The sequence below is a fragment of the Homo sapiens genome, chromosome 3 (genome assembly GCF_000001405.40).
Source record: "Homo sapiens chromosome 3, GRCh38.p14 Primary Assembly".
Classification (NCBI taxonomy): Eukaryota; Metazoa; Chordata; class Mammalia; order Primates; family Hominidae; genus Homo; species Homo sapiens.
In genome coordinates this window covers 71,026,063-71,045,415 of record NC_000003.12, presented here as the reverse complement: position 1 = coordinate 71,045,415, position 19,353 = coordinate 71,026,063, and the positions used below count along the sequence as shown (strand labels likewise).

General features: G+C 40.1%; 1 protein-coding gene across 18 annotated transcripts in view; it reads left to right on the top strand.

The window, feature by feature from the left end:
- FOXP1 (forkhead box P1) overlaps positions 1–19,353 on the top strand; it is a 629,271-nt gene that overhangs the window by 538,563 nt on the left and 71,355 nt on the right. For all 18 annotated transcript variants that reach the window (NR_146143.3, NR_146142.3, NM_001244810.2 and 15 more), the window contains one exon: positions 3,884–4,088. Coding sequence is in view for 16 of the 18 variants with exons in the window: in NM_001244810.2 (NP_001231739.1) it covers positions 3,884–4,088 (205 nt within the window). In the remaining 2 variants the exon portion in view is untranslated. The remainder of the gene's footprint in view (positions 1–3,883; positions 4,089–19,353) is intronic.

Below are 19,353 nucleotides of genomic sequence, written 5' to 3'. Positions count from 1 at the left end.
ATCAAGTTTGCTCACTAAGGTTCATTGTTATAGTACATCAGTTAAGCTGTCCAAAAGAGGGCAATTGGGCAGTGACAAGACAAGCTCATGTGTAATGTGAAAGAAATGAATGTGGTGATGCATGAAGTGTAATCTCTGCAGTAACATATCAGAGACACTGGTAGGTAATTCACTAGTCATGGCATTGATTGATAGGCTTAGCAGTCTGCTATAACTATTAGCCCCTGCAGCATTAGGAAGAAGCATATTTGAAATCTAAGGGGTGCCTCTGTGTGTGCCCAAGATGGCATAAATGTAAATATAAATATTTCTGGTGTCAGGTTCTTGCAGTAAAGTGAACTACCAGTGTTATTTCCATCTCTCTGAATCAGGAGGTTGGTTTTGTCCCCCCACTCCCTCACCTCAAGTGGCTAGAGAATTCAGTCATGTTGGACTAGAACACAATTTTTTTTTATCAGAGAGATGATGGCTTAAAACTGATGTCATTATGAGGTTTAAATCAACTTTCTGCTTGCTTGAACATGGTCACCTGGGTATGGATGTACAAGGACAAAAAAAGGTTGATCAACTCTGTTTGTCTTTGAGCCAGTGATACCTGGGGTTGTAAAATTGAGTTCCATGAACAGTAATCTGTCATCTGTCCCCACAACATACATTTTTTAAACCTGTGCCTGCATTTTCTTTTATAATGAAGGGGCCAGTTGTCCTGGAAAAAGAAATGTTGCAAGACTTGGGGGTTATCTGTTAAAAATACTGGTAATGCCCACTTCATAATGAAATCATCAAGATTATTTTACATACCTGTTCATGGCCTTGCCGAGTTAACCTTAAACATGTAAATGTCAAGTATAGGAATAGATAGAGAATTAATATTTTGAAGGCCTTTTTTTCCCTGAAGGTTTTATAATAGGAAATGGAGGGATATTTTGTGTTGTTTTTAAGGTTATTGTAGGGTCTTCTTTCTGTTTTACATAATTAGCCTATCTGCTTTTCACCCTGGTCTCTTTAATCATCTCATCCTCCCTAGCACCAGTAATTTCATATAGAAATATTCTTTCAGTCTTATTCTGACCTTTTAATTTTTAAAATGTAAACTCTAGGTAGCAGAAAATTACATGCTTGGCTATGTACCTGCTAATGGATTTGTTTAACTTCGTACTATTATTCTTAGTCTACCATTTTGGAAGAAATACATACTTTCTGGAAATTTGTTATCCATTTAGTCTGATGAGTGACTGGGTTACCTTTTATCTGTCTAACATGAGATCTTAGCTGTCAAATAACAACACCCTTTGGTAGGTAGCGCTCATTGAACTAACAGTTTAACATCACTAACGATATATGGCATTGATGGAGGAAAGCGATTTGACTGCTTCTGTGTTAAGTGTGATGAGAATGTTCTTAAAAGTAATTATCACATTGCAGTTTGACCCAGAAGTATCGCTGTTGTCACTTAATGAGTTACTATTTTTATTTACCATTTTTCTCTATGGATAATGGAACTGATTGCCAGCCCATTGGAATAGATGGGAGAGTAGAGTAACATTAATGCACCCTGTAGGTATAACAAGTGGTAAATACATTTGTCTTTGTCTTTATTTGCTGGATAAACAGCTTACTTTTAAAACAGCATCAAAGTTCTGCTTTTCTTCGAGAGAAAGCGGGAGTTAACACAGTTGTTAGGACCCTGTCCTAGTCTTCCCACCTCCCATGCAGCTGACCCAGAAATCATTTAGTTTGAGTTGAGAAATAGGTGGCTTGTTCTTTTCATGTGTTTACTCTCTAGAAAATAAAAATAGATGTTGACTTGTGTGGTTTTATATCAGTATGCCATCATCAACAGACAAGCCTATTAACTATTGTTTCCATTGAGTAAACAGTGGTCTGAGGGTCACCCATGTTCACAGGTAATTGTTGGTGTGCAGACAACAGTAGCGGGCCTGCTAGCTACAAACGCATCCCACCTGTCACTTCGAAAGGTGTTGGAAAATAATAGTTCAGATGCAGCAAAACCGGACATGGGGTTGTGGAGTGACCTTTCCCCTTTGTTTAATTTGCCTCTGAGGCTTAATTTCAGGGGACAAGTAATAATTGACTATGCCTAATAACTAAATGCTCATTTGGGACAAAATCCATCAAAATATAATTGGCATTTGATTTTTATGAAGGGAGAAGAAAACCGACTTGTCTGTCGAGGATGCCTCCTAAGAATATCTGACCACTTAATGTATCATTTGAAGCCTCCTTTATAATATATATTAATTGCAAATGCTTGAGCATTTGAACATTTTCGTGGAGAACCGTTAGGAGGGACCAACTGTTTTTGTTAACGCTCCTCTCAGAAAGGCGGGGAAGGTTATTGGTCTGCTGTGCAATAATTTACTCCTCTTTGATATGCAAACGATCCACGGTGAATATAAAAAAATCCTATCAGACTCATTTCACAGTTCTTAACCACTCGGATTCTCTGGAGTCCATCGCCTCATTAGACCAGTGCTCTCCAATGCTAGCATAATTAAAATCTTTAACAGTTTAGCAAAGTAAAGATGTTTGGCTGATCACGTTGAGATGATTATCTATCCATTGTATTCTAAATGACAAAAATAAATTAAATTTAGACCTTGGCATTTTTTATTATGTGTTTCAAATGAATATAATGCACACAGCCTTCTTTTTTAATTCGATACCTTAGGTTTGGTAAGAAACATGCCTGTTTCAGCTGCTGCTATATAGTCAGAAAATGGCAGGCTTTCTGGGATGGCTGTGTTACACTTGATTGAAACAATGAACTGCAATCCAGACGTCCACTTCTAATGTGGTATTGCCTTAGGATGTGCAGGGTTTATGTTTTCTTTTCGGTGTTCCTCCAAAGGAAGTTTTGTTGCTTGTTGTCGTTGTTGTTGTTTTTGTTAGTTGTCATCTAGAATATCTTTATTCTGTGCATGTGTGGGCTAGAATATGCATTGAGGTGGGATTTGGAAACCTGGGCTACAGAGGCATGCCAGCAGGATAAAGACGAAGAGGCCCACAATAGTGAGATTGGCATACTGATTGTATCTCTTCTTGGGGGAAAATACTGGATTCACTCCTTAAAACCCATGTCCATTTAGATCCCCTTTAAAAAAACAAGAGAACTTCATTACTGTAAGTTTATTTTACGTTTGCATTTTATTCTGCAATGGTTCATTACCATTGATCTAAGAAATGACAGTAATAATAGTGTTACTTGTATAAAAAGTTACACAGTTTTTCAGTAGACACATCCATCAATTAAGCATGTGGTACTAGAAACCAAAATTAATGAGGAAGATAGGTGTGTTAATGAAATAATCATAGTATAATCAATTTGACTGTTAAAAGTTGAAAAGCATTTCAGGAAGACGATATGAATTCATAATTTATGTCTAAAAGTGATTAATAAAAACTATATTTAATAACAAAGCTATTTGTCATCATTTAAGACTTAAGCACAAAAATTATTCATTTTGTAGTTCATGTTGTCATAATAGTATAGTTGAACAAATTTATTTTGAGCCCTTCTTTGTGTCTAAAACTAAGGTAACATCTATCTACTTTTCATCAAAATTGAGAAATAACACTTGGGATGGTTAGAGGCATACTGTTGTGGCAAAGTAACTGTGTTTTGAGTCACTTTCACCTGAGTCTTTTATGTGCGATGAGGGCAACTTCCACTCAGTTGCTCGGTAAGAGGACACACTTTTTACTACCGCATCTGCCGTAGTTGGGAGGGGAAAAAAAACTGCACACACCGAAAAACCCCCCTAACACTAGGCTTTGTTTACTGACTCTTTGATTTAATTGCTGTTTGAAGAGGACGGAATTAGCTGTTAATTGATTTAATTATCCAATTTGTTTGTTTCAGGCATGATTCCAACAGAACTGCAGCAGCTCTGGAAAGAAGTGACAAGTGCTCATACTGCAGAAGAAACCACAGGCAACAATCACAGCAGTTTGGATCTGACCACGACATGTGTCTCCTCCTCTGCACCTTCCAAGACCTCCTTAATAATGAACCCACATGCCTCTACCAATGGACAGCTCTCAGTCCACACTCCCAAAAGGGAAAGGTAGGAACCAGCCACTGAGATGGGTCCAAAACTGCCTTTAACATGAGAGGGGTGGGTGGCCCTGCCTCGTCATATCTCAGTGATCCCTAATTGGATCCATGTGACTTGAATGTGCATATAATTACTGAGGAATGTATTCAGTATGGTTTGGGTGTGAAGCATCTAATTATTTTCACCTTTTCAACATGGAATTAGCACTTATGTAGATCTACTCTCAGCTTAGGAACCCGGGCAGAAGTCGTGTAGTTTCTCATTGGATGGGTTGGATTTCCAGGCTTCCAGGCCTACTCCTTCTGCCAAGTGCTCACTCCGTACAAGCTGAATTCCTTGGCTGGAAGTGCCTTCTAAGGGAATAGTAGTGTCTGCTGTGGGCAATTTTGAATTATGGTTTGAGAAAACATAGAACTTATGTTACTCTACATTGCTCCCCTTGAAGGCTGGGCGCCCATGTTTTTCATCATTGTGCCCTGGAGCACATGGTCTTTCCCGTATGTATTCTGAGTGAAGGTTTGGAGGATGGAGAGACAGAAGAGGTAGTGGTGGTGGTGGCTGGTGGAGGTGGGGGATCTGTTGTATATACTCACATAAACAGACACAGCACACTTTCTCTTCATTGTGGGATATAGTGTAGTATTGTCTCAGCAGCTGTATTCCTATTTAGAAGTTAAGACATTTTATTTTTGAATTGCCCTGGGCTTTACATGAATGTTACTTGAAGCTGAGCTTGTTTTAGAGATCCAGAATATGCCATGTTAGCATGCAGTTCTAAGAAAATAAAGCTGTTAATTCATGTTATGGTATTCTTAGTACCCAGAAGCATTAATACCACTGTTGAAGTGCTTTTCAAGAATAGAAAATACAATGCCCCTAAAATTGAAAACTTTTTGTTTGCTATTCCTAAACTGTTTTCTATATATTTCATAGGCAGAGCTTCCACACACAGAGGTAAAGAAACCGTAAAAGTAGTATGTGACAGTAAATGCCATTTCTCTCAGGAGAAAGCAAATTCTGTATTGTGTTTTTTAATAAAAATGGCTCAGTGAAAAAACATTTAATTATATATTTCAGTTATGCAATTACAAATGTAATTTCATATATTTCTCAAAATATTGAGTATTTAAGAAGCCTACTGTTTAATTAGATGTGTATCTTTATACCAGAAAAATATTATCTGAACACACACACACACACAGATACACACACACACACAGAGATACATACATACACACACACACACACACACACACCATGTTCAAGTGTAAAACCATGAGTGGTTACCAGAGTTGAGGATAATACATATGTTTTAACTAAAATTTTCAACTATCCTTCCAAGGTCATTTTGGAATTTCTGAGGCAGACACCGAAGAACTAAAAGATGCATTAAGCATGTTGGTTTGGAAGAGTTTGAAGAATAGATAGAGGAATAGAATGGTGGACACTGACAATCTTTGGAGCCATTGAGGGAAATGTGGCTTCTGTTGTTTCTGGCAAGGATAGATATGTATGTCTGGAAGCCAATCTTAGCTCTTGCTTTACAATCTCTTATGATGTCTTCTTTTTTTTTTTTTTTTCAAGAAAGAAAACCTTAGAGAGCATTAAAGAAAAGGTTCTAGGCTGTTGTCCTTTGCTATACTTGGTTTTGATGCCCTAAGGTTGATGCGTCCATTTGCTGCAGAGCGATTGAATTACATCTTTATCCATAGGCAGAGCAGGAGGCCATACACTGAAAAACGCCGACTGATGCACTTAAGGTATTTGTGGCAATCTCATCGGCTGTTGTGGAGCCTGCACAGATTTCCTGTGACATAGAAAACTCTTCTTGTTTAGATGCGCTGTGCTCAGTTTCATTTTCTAAAAGGTTATGTATCTGCAGTCAGGTGATAGATTAGCAAGGAGGCAAGTGGGAGAAGAATAGCCCTTTTCATGTCTTAAGGCACATTTGAAAGTAAGTGGATCTGAGAGACAGTCTAATTCTGGGAGACTAAGTTTGTTTGAATTTTTTTTTATGGTCCTTATTTGTCTGCACAAAAGTTGTGCTTAATCTTCATCATACTACACACCAGAATTAGAATATGGATCAGAAAAGAATTCAGATTCCAATGAGCCTTAATCTGGATGTAAAAGCAGGCTGAGTTTTCCAATTGTACATGCAAAAAAGAAGCAACTATGAAATTATATGCCACTACTTAATCTCTTGAATCTCTCAGTTTGTATTATCTAGTAGGTTCCTAAACGTGGCTGGATTAAAAGAAAATTCCAGTCAGCACATTTTAACTGAATGTAGCCATCAAGACAAATGAGCACCTTCAGTTAAAGATAGTTCAGTTTAAGCTTGTGGAATTGATAATTAAAAAATCAATTAGGCCTGGTACAGTGGTTCATGCCTGTAATCTCAGCACTTTGTGAGGCCGAGGCAGGAGGATTGCTTGAGGCCAGGAGTTCAAGACTAGCCTGGACAACATAGAGGGACCCCAATTTCCATTAAACTTTTTTTTAATTAGCCTGCCATGGTGGCATGCACCTGAAGTCCCAGTTACTTGAGAGGCTGAGGTGGGAGGATCATTTGAGCCCAAGAGTTTGAGGCTGCAGTGAGCCATGATCACACCATTGCACTCCAGCCTGGGCAACAAAGCAAGATCCTGTCTCTTAATTAAAAAAAAAAAAAAGCAATGATTAGTTAGCCAGCTTCGTATACATATAAATACTTCAAATGCATATTATGTAGCATTACCTTATTAGGCTTAATTTAAAAATCACGTGTGATAACCAGTTAAATACCAAAACAAAGCTGTCACTATAAAGGTATGGTCTCACTGTACACTGATGTGCCAGTTGTCTCAGGAGTCTCTTGTCACTGCCTTGGATAAGTTTTCTCTCTTACTCATCAATGCATTTGTGAAATACGTGTCCTTCCAAGCTCTTCTTTGATTTCTGTGTAATATTCTTTTCCCTCCATTCTGATGGGCAAGGAAAGAGTCTCTGCCACACTGAATAACTATCTGACCCCATGACCTTGATCGTGGGTTAGCAGCTTTAAGATTTCTTTCTGACATGATCTGGGGGTGCTCGATGGGAAAATTTGCTGGAAAAAGGTAGTGTTGTGAGAGTTACTGTTGTTTTCAAAGTAGTGAGATGGCTAATGATCTCAACTGAGTTGCATATGTATTTCCATGCCATTTGGAAAACTCCTTCTCCCCCACTCTTGCCCCCGTGCATTTTGCTGGCTCCTGTGAGCAGCCACTGCAGTAGCAGCAGCTCTGGGGTTTGGTGAGCTGCAATCTGTTAAGGAGATAAATAATGTGCTTGGCACGACACTCCTACTCTCCTCTTTAATTTGTCTTACACAAGGAAAATTATAATTAAATCATTCAGGGTAAACCCTTGAGTGTAGAGAAGGGAAAAAACACACTTTGGTAAAGATTGCCAATAGAAACCCACTTCCCTGTTGCGCAGGGTAGAGACATTTATCAATATTCAGCACTATTACGGGAGGAGCGGCCCATGTGATTTGTGAGGCGGATGCCAGCGTTCAAATCAAGGCTTGTTAAGATCCTGTCCCTGTGTAATCATGGACATTCAGCATCATTAGAATTCAGTACTGGCACCATGCTTCGTGCTTTGATTTTCTCCGACAATTTAATAATGTTTATTGTGCTGATTGTATATAAATTCATTGGTGCAATAAACATGCCTGTGTTGTCAGTGCCTGAGAAAAGTGTGGTGGGGATCAAGTTCAATGGCGCAGCTAAGGGGGAGCAGCAAGAGGAAGCAGGTGCATTCAAGCCTCTTGCTGTCATTTTATTCCATAGGGACAGAGAGTCTCGACTTCTTAGGGAAACAGACAAAACTCAGGCCTGGGATACCGGTACATATGAAGATACTGTCTTGTTTCCCTGTCTAATTGTCTTGCTTTAGAAAATTCCAGGTTTTGGTGTGGGTAAACAGAATCAACAGAATGCAAATGAAACATCTATTAAAATGCTAAATTTAGTAAAGCCCTTTGAGCTTCTTGGATCAAAGCAGCTATGTAAATACTAATAGCAATTACTACTTAAGTAATTGCCTAAATTAAAATTTGAAATATCACATTACATTATGGTGCACTAGGGAAAGGGACAAGAACTCACATTTAATCAGTTCCTTCTCTGTGCCAAGCACTGGCTAGACTTTTGCATATGGAGTGATGTCTCATTTTATCCACCTGACCACTCAGGAAGCAGTAAGGATGATTATACCCATTTTACAGATGAGGAAATCGAATAATAGAAATTAAATAACTAACCCAGGGTCATAGAACTGGTGGTTAGTGGCATATCCAAGATCCAAATTCAGATCTGTGTTTTAGTCTGCAAAATAGTACTTAAAGTTTTCATTCAGCATAGAAGTGAATACTAAATTACGATAAAATGAGTGTCCCTAAAAGATACTTTAAATTTAATTGAAATTCAATTTGACAAAACACGTATTAAGTTAACCTACTGTGTGCAAATCACTGCGTTTAAAAGAAAATACCAGAGTTTTCTCTTTTATGGTGTATATTCATATTTACCAGGCCTTTCATGAAGCGGGATAGGTGGGATTTACAAGCTATAAATCATTTTGGTCTGAAACAGCACATAAAGAACATAAATGAACCTCATGGGGGATTTACACACAGGCAGATCCAAAATAACGTATCCCCACTTTTTTCCTGCCTTATAAATCCTGTGTTTCCTCAATGAACACATCATATGCTTTTTATTTCATTTCAGCTGTCCTCTATAGTCCAAATCAGAAATATTCCCTTTTTTCTCATCCCAGCTTTTTTGCTTTCAGTTCAGCCACCATCATTAGATGTTTTATAACTCGAGTATTTCTCGGATTCATAGCTGTTCTAAGTATTTGTTCCAAGGTGTCCTTAAGCATTTGGTCAAAGATGTTTCCTTAAACCCTGATCAGATGGTGGTTGGGCAGTCTCTGCTTTTTTGAGGTATCATATTAGAAACAGGGGACGCACACTGGGCGCTTTACTCTATGAGGTTTAACCTATGCTCTCTTCAGTCACGATAGTCCTTGCCTCGTTCTCATCATTTATTGACGGAGCCCTGTGTATTACTGTCGCTTGCATTTTCTCCACTCCACAGTTGGCAGTTGCCTTCAAATAACCCCTGAAGGTTTCCGCCTGGCTAGTGTACTTATAGACAGTTTCACTTGATACACAGTCTCTGTTTTTGATTTGTGGCCTCTTGACATGTTGCCATGTATTTGACTATGTAACAATAACATTTGTGTTTACAGGCCTTGTTATTTTCAAAAGGCAAGGAACTTTGAAACATGTACATGTCTAGTGTTGCATTTTTTTTTCTTTTTTAAACTAAATTCTGTGTTTGTGAATAAATGTCAGTGCTCTTGGTTTACTTGCTAAAATTCTAGAAGTTAGTTTTCAGAACTGTTCCAGATACACAAGCCTTTAACTGGTGCATGTTCTGTGATATGTAGGACCTGTTGAAATTTAAGCAGTAAACTCTAGCTCCCATTATTTTGAAGAGTTTTTCCTCATTTCAGTTTTTTTTTTTCCCCAAAAATCAGAGGACAATTTGTATTTATTTTGATTTGAAATACTGAGCAAGCTAGTTATTTTAAATCTTTCTTCCCCGTTAGAGCATTTTGGAGAACCTGTGGTCAAATTCCACCAAATTGTCTTCAAAATTGTTAACTGCTACTTCCTGCCAACATGAGTCAAGGCATTTAAACAATCTATAACACTATAACAGAGCTCGGCAAATTATGGTCAGCCTGCCAAATCCAGCCCACTGCTTCCTTTTGTAAATAAAGTTTTATTGGGACACAGTCACATTCATTTACGTATTGTCTACGGCTACTTTGACACTACAATGGCAAGCTTGAGTAGTGGCAGCAGAAACCATATAGGCTACGAAAACTGAAATATTTACTATCTGACCATTTACAGAAACAGTTGCTGACCCCTGACCTTCACCATTAGCCTGGTGTTTCTCAGATTCCCTGATGATATTTTCATAGGGTATTTGTTAAACACACAGCTTCCTAGGCCTTTCTTCTGAAACCTGGACTTTCTTGGTCTGAGATGGGGTGCAGGAATTTGCATTTGCCCTACATACCCTGGAGTCTTGCTACTCAGAGGCTGCAGACCAGCAGCTCTGCTGTGACCTGGAAGCTTGTTAGAAACTCAGTCTCTGGCCCTGCCCCAGACCTGCATCAGGATCTGCATTGTAACAAGAGCCTCAGGGGTTTGGAATACATGTTCAAGTTTGAGAAGCAATGGAAGCTGTGTGTTTATCACTGAGGTTTTGACACTTGGAAAGAACAGGACTTTTCTCCAGACACTTGATTCACATCCCAGACAGGTTCTCATCAAAAGTCAGGGCTGTAGTTAAGGTGGTCTGGGGAGCAGCCCACTGGGGAGCCACCAGACAGGTTCAGTCCTCAAAACTAGTGACTTGCCATTCTTACGTGAGCCAACAGAGTAGAAATCATATGACTGAAGGGACCAGACCCCATTTGCTTCCTTTCCTTAGGAGCTACCACGAGACCTTGACTTGAGACCCACTCCTTGGCTCTGTGATCACAGGCAAGAGACACAAATTTAAGGTTCTGTTTTGCTCTTGTCAAGGATGAAAGGACCTGACATGTGATGGTGGTGATGAGAATGCAGCTAACATTTATGTAACTCTTACTGTGTGCCAGACACAATGCTCAACAGACTTGACATAGGGCTTGATACTATACTGATTTTCCTATTTTTAATTTTTTTTATTTTTTATTTTTATTTTTTGATTTTCCTATTTAATCCTCATAGTAACCTTATGGGGTATTCTCCCCTTTGTACAGAGGGTGCAGCTGGGGCCCAGAATGATGTTATCGCTTGCACACGTCACATAGCTAGTTAGTGACCATACAGGGACTAGACCTGAGATTTCCCTGACCCTCAGGGACTTGCAGTGACTGCCAGATTCTGGTGGCTCCCAGTGGGCTGCTCCCCAGACCACCTTCACTACAGCCCAGACTTTTGATGAGAATTGGACTACAGAGTGGGTTAAGCTCCGGATCAAGTCCAGATGGTAGCCTCCACTGGTTGTAGCTTGGGGCCAGACCTATCTTTTCAGCAGTAATTTAGAAGAAGCCCCCAGGAAAATCCCCGTTGCCAGTTTCCTTTGCACCCACCTCATCTTTTTGCTGGCAGGGAAGTCAGGAGGTTAGAAACCAGTGACGCACAGTGGAGAATATAGAGGGCGTGCTGGGCATGTCTTGTCAGGTGTAGGGGACCGGAAAGAGGACCAGGTGTGGCTAACTGCAGAGGCCTAAGATACAGGTACTTATTTTTGCTCCAAAGCAGACTCTTGGCAGCATCACCTGTCCCATGTCTATCTGTCGGGGAGGTAACCTACTTAGGGCAAAAGCTGTTCCTGCTGAGGTCAGACAGAAGCACCCTGGGGGCGAATCAGCATTTTGTACCCTAAACATGCTGCCTGTTGTTTGGCAGCCATCGTGCTTTGAAGAACTGTGATGTGTCTGATTGCTTAAAACCAATCACTTTTGGGACTTAGAAGTGGGAGAAAGGATTCTCTCAGGGCCATGTGGCATGGTGCCGTATCACCGCCTGTCATTCACACATGCAGGGAGGGCACCGGGAGAAAATCTTTAAAATATTGGCATGCCATAAGGGAAGGGTTTATGGGTTGTTTTTTTTTTTTTTTTTTTTTTTTTGACTGTTCACTTTGTGGGGTGATTAAACAAAAAAACCTCAGCCATTATTCTCTAACAGCTGTTGTGCCTTACCTCAATAAAGTGCCTTTTACCATAACACAGCATCTTTAGACTCTATAAATCTCTTTCTATTTATTGTGTTTAAATGATAAATGCTTTCCAATAAAATGACATCATGGGTCTGGAGAGTGATGTTCATTTTCTGAGTTACTCTTAAATTTGGTTGATTTGAATTTTTTTATTAGGATGTTGTATAATATGAATCTCAGCCACAGGCTATTCCGTGTCTAATGTGCCAGATTTCCCACCCAAAACCATCTTTGGACCCCCCATTTCTTTCACCTTGTAAGGTAGACATTCTTTTTTGATGCGCCGCTGCCGCTGATACAGGTTCTCTGCCAAATTCCTTTGTTGGCACCCAGGCATTTTGCAAGTATTTGCGCTTGAGTGGAAAGGCCTGTGTCCCCTCCTCCCAATTGTGTCTTAGCTTTCCTTAACATTTATTCCACACCAGGGGTGTGAGGGAAAGCATGTGGCAGGAGAAGAGTGAGAACCAGCCTTTTGGAAACTCTGATGGTATTGTCCATGGTACTCGGTTTTACTCTTTTACCTATAAAAAGTTGTTGTTGAATTGCACACCTTCACCACTTAAATTAGACAGAAGATTTTCTTTGATGGATATTGAAACCAACCAAAAGTGCAAAGGGAAGTCAAGGGCCTTCCCTTTGAGAGGAAAAGGGGCTTGGAAAAGTCCTATTCTTATAATAAATGACAGCTGGGAGTCTTATGCTCTTAAGCCAATACTGGAGCCAGATGAAGGGGGGACCTATGCTGGAGACTTAAGCGGATGTCATGTTCCTTTTCAAGATTTGCAAAGATGCTTTTTTGTGCAGTTATTCTGTTTTATTGCTGTGTTCGCACCAGTGTTACCCCGTGGCCTGGCTCCATAGGTCTTTCCGAGGGAGCTACCTCTCTGCCGACTGGCTCACTGGGGCAATGCAAATGAGTGCGTTAGATATGTACAGCATTCCTGAAGTTCTTTATTCCATACCCCTTTGTAATCAGTCAAGGCCTAAGTATATTATAAACTATATTCTCCTCATTAAAACAATAGTGGAAGCTCACAAAGGGAAATTGTTAATATGTGTTCCAGCTTGTCACTTCTGCCTGTGTGAATAAAGAAGATAACCGTTCCTTTGGGAAACTATTTCGGGAATTGAGCAACAGATACGCTAGCCAGAGAATTCTCTTAACTGTAATTTTCCTTTTTGTGTGTACTCTAAAATAACATCCTGTTGGGCTCCTCAGTGCCACTGCACAGACAGAGCACAATTGCCACAGCCCAGGTGGTGTTAATATGGGACAATCCCCCCGGGCACATGTCGCCAAGAGTTTTACAGCTTGTTCAGTGTCTTCATCCATATGGCAATCTGTCCCATTCACAGGAAGGCATCGGGGCTGCGCCGGGCGGGTACTGCGGTCAATGTAGTGTGAAGAGCAGGCCTCCACTCAGGCAGCCTCTGTTGTGCAGTTTGTTTTATTGTAGATCTGAGTTATGACGCACACACACTCACATGTACTCTCTCAACCAAGAAGAGATGCGAAAATAGCCTTGCTGGCTTCCTTTCCTCCCCCTTTATTTTTTGAAGCACGTGGTTAACTCAGCAGGTACAATTCTAGTGCATGAAACACACTTGGTTCATAGAAAGTCAGTTAAAAACACACATCCACATGGACCTTTCTGGCTGGGTGGTTGTGTGTTAACATAAGGACTCCATACTTGTACTAGGATTCTTCTAGAAATTAGTGGGTTTTGTTGTTCTTGCTCTCTCTTCCCCACCTCTTTTTTTGTTTTTTGTTTGTTTGTTTGTTTGTTTAGCATTTTCCATTGTGAAAACTATTTTGGTTGTCCAGTTTGGATTGTTGGTCTAATATTTGTGGTTTCTAAGTCTTAAAATGAAAGAAGAGAAAGAAAAAAGAAAATCATTATCCGCCTCAGAAATCTGAGAGTAAAACATTGGCTGGAGGTGTGAGAAGTGCAAAGAATCAAGAAAACAGAGATTTCCCAGTGCACAGGGTGAAAAATAGGGACTTTTTAAAAAGACACTTTGGAAAATTCACCAGGAGGCAAAAAGCCTTCTCCATTTATATACCCAAGGCTTGTTCTGCTTTTGTGTAACTATTTGTGTTCTTGTTTGGTAAACAAACAGACCCCATAGCAACTGTAGCTGATGATATTTATACTACCTGTAAGACTTCCCTAAACAAATAGACAGACTTTTATGACCTTCAAATTTCATTCCTTTTATAGTCTTCAAGGAAATCAGTCTAATGGCAAGCCGATCTCTCTCTTTCTCTCCATTGCTTTTTTTACAGTACTTTGAGATATGTCTTTGAAGGAGCTTTTGTGTATTGTGTATTTTACATCTTGGCTGTGAATGTTGAGTGTTTGAAGATGTACTATGGCAGAAGGAAAGAGGAAACCTGAAGTGTTTGTGCAAATGATGTGATATTTGCTTTCAAAGGAGTCATTTTAGTAATCAGTGGAATTCTGGGTCATACATCCAAAAAGCGAACACTCCACCGAAATCATGACCATAGACCTGAGAATCAGGCGGATATCTATGTCTGTGACTCTACTTTCATGTCTGAAATATTGATAGAAACATTGTGGTACATATGAGCCCCTATATTCAACTTAAATTTTTCCATATGAGTCAGATTTATGACAAGAACAAGATGTCTCGTGTTAAAGATCAGTGTGAGAGAAAAATGGCAGTTTACTTTAATTAGAAAAAAATTGACACCAAGAGCTGGAATAATCCAGTGGCGTTTGAATAAATTAGAGGACTGTACAGACAGAAATAAAAAGAAACTCAACAAGGATAAATGGGAAGTTGTCCAAAGTGCAAGAAAAAATGTGTTCCTCAGTGGGACAGAAGTCACAGGACACTTCCAAGGTATATCCATTCAACCAAACTTACCAAGCTCAAACCACAGGCCAGGTGTGGTCCTAGTGTGGGAATGTAGCTGTGAGCTCCACAGCCTGTCCTCAGGGAGCTGACACTGCAGTAGAAGGGAAATAGAACAAACAAATCATTTACACAAGAACGGTTAAGTTCTGGAAACAGAAAAAGTAGGAAAGGGAGTAAGTATTATTTGTGGGGCTGAGGTTACTGTTGGGGTAAGTTGGTCTGGCAAAGCCTGTAGGTGGCCCTGGAACAAACGTGAATAAGAAAGGGAAGACCCCCTCCAATCTAAGGGCACATCAGAAGCAAAGGCCCTGAAGCAGAGGCAGGCATAGAAGATATTTGGCTGCGTTATGGACCATACTGGTTTCATGTCAGGCCACTGTGTTGTTTGGTGGTATTTAGCCTCCTATCAGAACCCAACATGATTATCACAAAGTAGGTGTTTAATAAAATCTGCTGAATTAAAGGTAGAGAAGGGTTTAACCTAGTTAACCCAGTTTAACCTCAAAGACTGGACTGAAGAATGCAGGCTGCTCTACTTAAGTTACTTGAGCTTGGTGTGCCTCAGTTTCCCACCCCTGAATCGGGTATGCTACCAGCCCTTACCTCGTCTTAGATCAAATTGTGAGGATTAAATGAGTTAATATATGTTTTAGTTGCTGAGCACATAGTAGGTCCTCAATAAATATTAACTTATTGTTAATTATTATTAAAGCTATTTATTCATTCATACCACACGTATTGAGCATGTATTATATAATAACTCTGTAGATTCTGGGAATTAAAAGATGACCACAATGTAGTTCTTCCCCTTCAGGAACTCACAGCTAATCAGAAAAACAAACATAGAAACAGACACTTGAAAGTCAATGTATTATTAATAACTATGGTGATAGAAGTATATGCAAAACGTAACAGAGGGCATGACTTGTTAAAAATGGGCCCAGCGTGGTGGCTGATGCCTACAATCCCAGCACTTTGGGAGGCCGAGGCGGGTGGATCACTTGAGGCCAGGAGTTTGAGACCAGCCTGGGCAATATAGTGAGACCCTGTCTCTACAAAAAATATAAAAATTAGCTGAGCATGATGGTGCATGCCTATAATCCCAGCTACTCAGGAGACTGAGGCACAAGAATCACTTGAACCCGGGAGGTAGAGGTTGCAGTGAGCCGAGATCACACCACTGCACTCCAGCCTGGGTGACAGAGCAAGACTCTGTCTCAAAAAAATAAAAAAAAAAGAGCACTAGTGGAACATCATAGTGTGTGTATGTTCCCCCTACATCTGCCTCACATGAGATTTTCTAACACAATGAATGCTGTAAGGGAAAGGTTTTAACTCTCTTGTCCATTGCCACATCCCCATCACCCAGCACAAGCCAGCCTGGCATATAGTAGGCCCTAAATTTCATTGCAGAGACTACATGAAATGTTCAGAAGAAAGTGAACTAATGAGATGTCAAAGGTCAAGAACCCATTAAGAGTACTTCTATACTTGCCACTCTTTGGCCACAGGTGCTGTAAGACAGGGGTCCCCAAACCCCAGTTCACAGACTGGTACTGGTCTATGGTCTGTTAGGAATTAGGGCACACGGCAGGAGGTGAGGCACGTGAGTGAGTGAAGTTCCATCTGTATTTACAGCCGCTCCCCATCGCTCACATTACCACCTGAGCTTCGCCTCCTATCAGATCAGCGAGGCATTAGATTCTCACAGGAGCGTGAATCCTATTGTGAACCACACATGCAAGGAATCTAGGTTGTGTGCTCCTTATGAGAATCTAATGCCCAATGATCTGTCACTGTCTCCCATTACCCCCACATGGGACTGTCTATATTTGTAGGAAAATAAGCTCGGGGCTCCCAACTGATTCTACGTTAGGGTGAGTTGTAAAATTATTTCATTATATGTTACAATGTAATAATAATAGAAATAAATGCATGATAAATATTATGTGCTTGAATCATCCCGAAACTATTCCCTGCCCCCCAGTTCCTGGAAAAATTGTCTTCCATGAAACCAGTCCCTGGTGCCAAAAAGGTTGGCGAGCACTTCTGTAAGAGAACCTGGTTAGCTGTTGTCGATACCTGTAGCTGCTCCAAACCATGAGAAAACTTAAGTTTCTGCTACAAGTACATCTCAATCTTTAGCTTGCCTCAGAATCCCCCTGGAGGAATGGCTAAAATACAGGCTACTGGGCCCCACCCTTAGTGTTTCTGATTCAGTAAATTGGGGTGGGGCCCCCACATTTGCATCTTTTACAAGTTCCAGACCCGTACTCTGAGAACCACTGCCTTACAACGTCCCCACCTGGTATCCTTATGGTGTGGCATTCTACCGAAGTTCAAAGTGACGGATAAGTGATCTGGATTACCATTACTTAGGAAAATACAGGTTTCAGAGCCAAGACTCAACATTTCAGAGAGAAAAATTCTCAAGACTGTGGCCCAATATAAGCTATTTTATGGAGCAAAATTTAAAAAAAAAATTTCAATTTTGGCCTTAATTTCATTCATCAGGGCTCTGGTTTTGTCTTCCTAGATTTTTTGTGTGTGTGCTTCGGTTCTCTGCTCTCACTCTATTCCTTTCATCACCTGAGCTCCTACTGATACGTTAAGGCCCAGATCAAATGTTACAGTACTTTATGTTCCAGCCATCTGTTCAGTTATCACTGTCTCCCCAACTAGAGAATTGGGTAGAACTCTTTCCGAGGATGAGAACTTACTTAAAGTTGCAGTCAATGCCAGTGACCACCAAACTTGATTTTTTACCCATCAGTATAAAAGTGTTGAATGTGTACCCCTACTAAGTATGTTTATTAATTATATACATGTTTCTAATATATATTCCTTATGTTATAAAAATTGGTGGCTAAGAGGGTGAGAAATGTATATATACATTTTCAAGTTCTAATATTAATATGTGTATACAGAAATCTTAATATTGTGACTCATATATGTAATATCAAATCTTAAATATATGATGTAGGTCATATGCATCCCAGTTTTGGAGACTGATCTAAGAACCTAACATGATTATCACAAAGTAGGTGTTTAATTAAATCTGCTGAATTAAATGTAGAGAAGAATTTAACCCAGTGAATGTTAATGAGGCATCTTGTGCTATAGAGAAATAAATGTAATTACATAAAGTAGGGAGTAATTCTAAGGAAATACATAAGCAAGTGCCTGATAGTTTTGAGCCATTTTGTATCTTTGGCTAACTTGTCCCTTCATCTCCTGCTTTCTGGTCTGGCCCTTGTGTATGGTTCTGCTTTTGAAGTATGATGTAACTCTTAGAAATCTTTTGCTGACTTCCATAGCATACTGGGGAGGGGAAGAAAATAAGAATTAATATTGGAACTTTGTTTACGGTCGTTGGTTTTTTTGGGTGTCATTGGTTCCTCTAACATATGGACAAGGTTCCACATAGACCTTGTGACTCACCAGTGCAAACACACTTGCATTGACATAATGAGAATGCCTGCCTAATGGTGTTAATAACTTTTGGATTAGTGATCCCTATGTCTGTATTGACACAGTTGCTCACACCACTTTTTGGAAAGCATTCTGTTTTCTTAACGAGATCCCAGTGTTAATACTGCCAGTGGTAAACTTTTAGTTACAAACTCAGAATAGCCCTTACTGGTGTCAGAAACAAAAGATGGACCTCTGCCTCTTGTTGTTCTTTTCCTTTATTTATTCCTTCACTCATCACCTTGCAAATACAGGCATTTTGTGCTTGTCATCACCTGCTCTGTTTGCGATTGCATTGTGATCCAAGCACACCAACCAGCCTCCAGTACTACAGCTCTGATTCTCTGCTCCGTTCTCCTGCTATGCCACATAAATACTCCTGGCATCTGGGAATCAAGATGGCACATTTTGCCCAGTGTGGCTGGAAAGGGGGGAGATAGGGGAGATTGGTGACATGGTTAGTGATGAAAATAACTGCCAGACTTACTACCTTTCGTGGCACCTAGCCTCAGGTTCTTACCATTGGTAAAGCAGCCAGTTGCTGGTCACATAGATAGCTTACAAATGAGATGCCCTTAAATCTGGAGGAAGAAGCTCTAGTCCTAAAAGCATCAGACACACTACACTGTGCTGTTGGGGCCTTTGTGGGTCTTTGACCCCTAAGTCCAGAACGACCGTGAGGCTCTGCCATCCCCTGTGAAAATTCAAATTAAAGTACGTCTTCAGAGACTTGCTACTTTGTCAGTGTCAACCTGCGAAGTTAACCCAGCTACAGACTGGATCCTCAAGGACTACTTTATGAGCTTTTACTTTTCCAAACTTGAGTCGTTTGAATATGCGCCCCATTGTTGTGAGGTTTGCCCTGTCTGCTTATGTGATTATTTGTATTATTTTCTTTAAATCAAGTCATTTCTTAAATAAAATGAGCCTCATTCTAAGAAATGATATCTGTGAAATCAGAAGTTGGAGACACTAGATATATTTTAGTCCATTACAAATTAAGATACATCTGCAAATCTTCAAAGTATGCTTTCTTGCTCCATTTGACATTGTGTGGACCCCACTGAGTGTGTGCATATTATGAGTTGGTATGT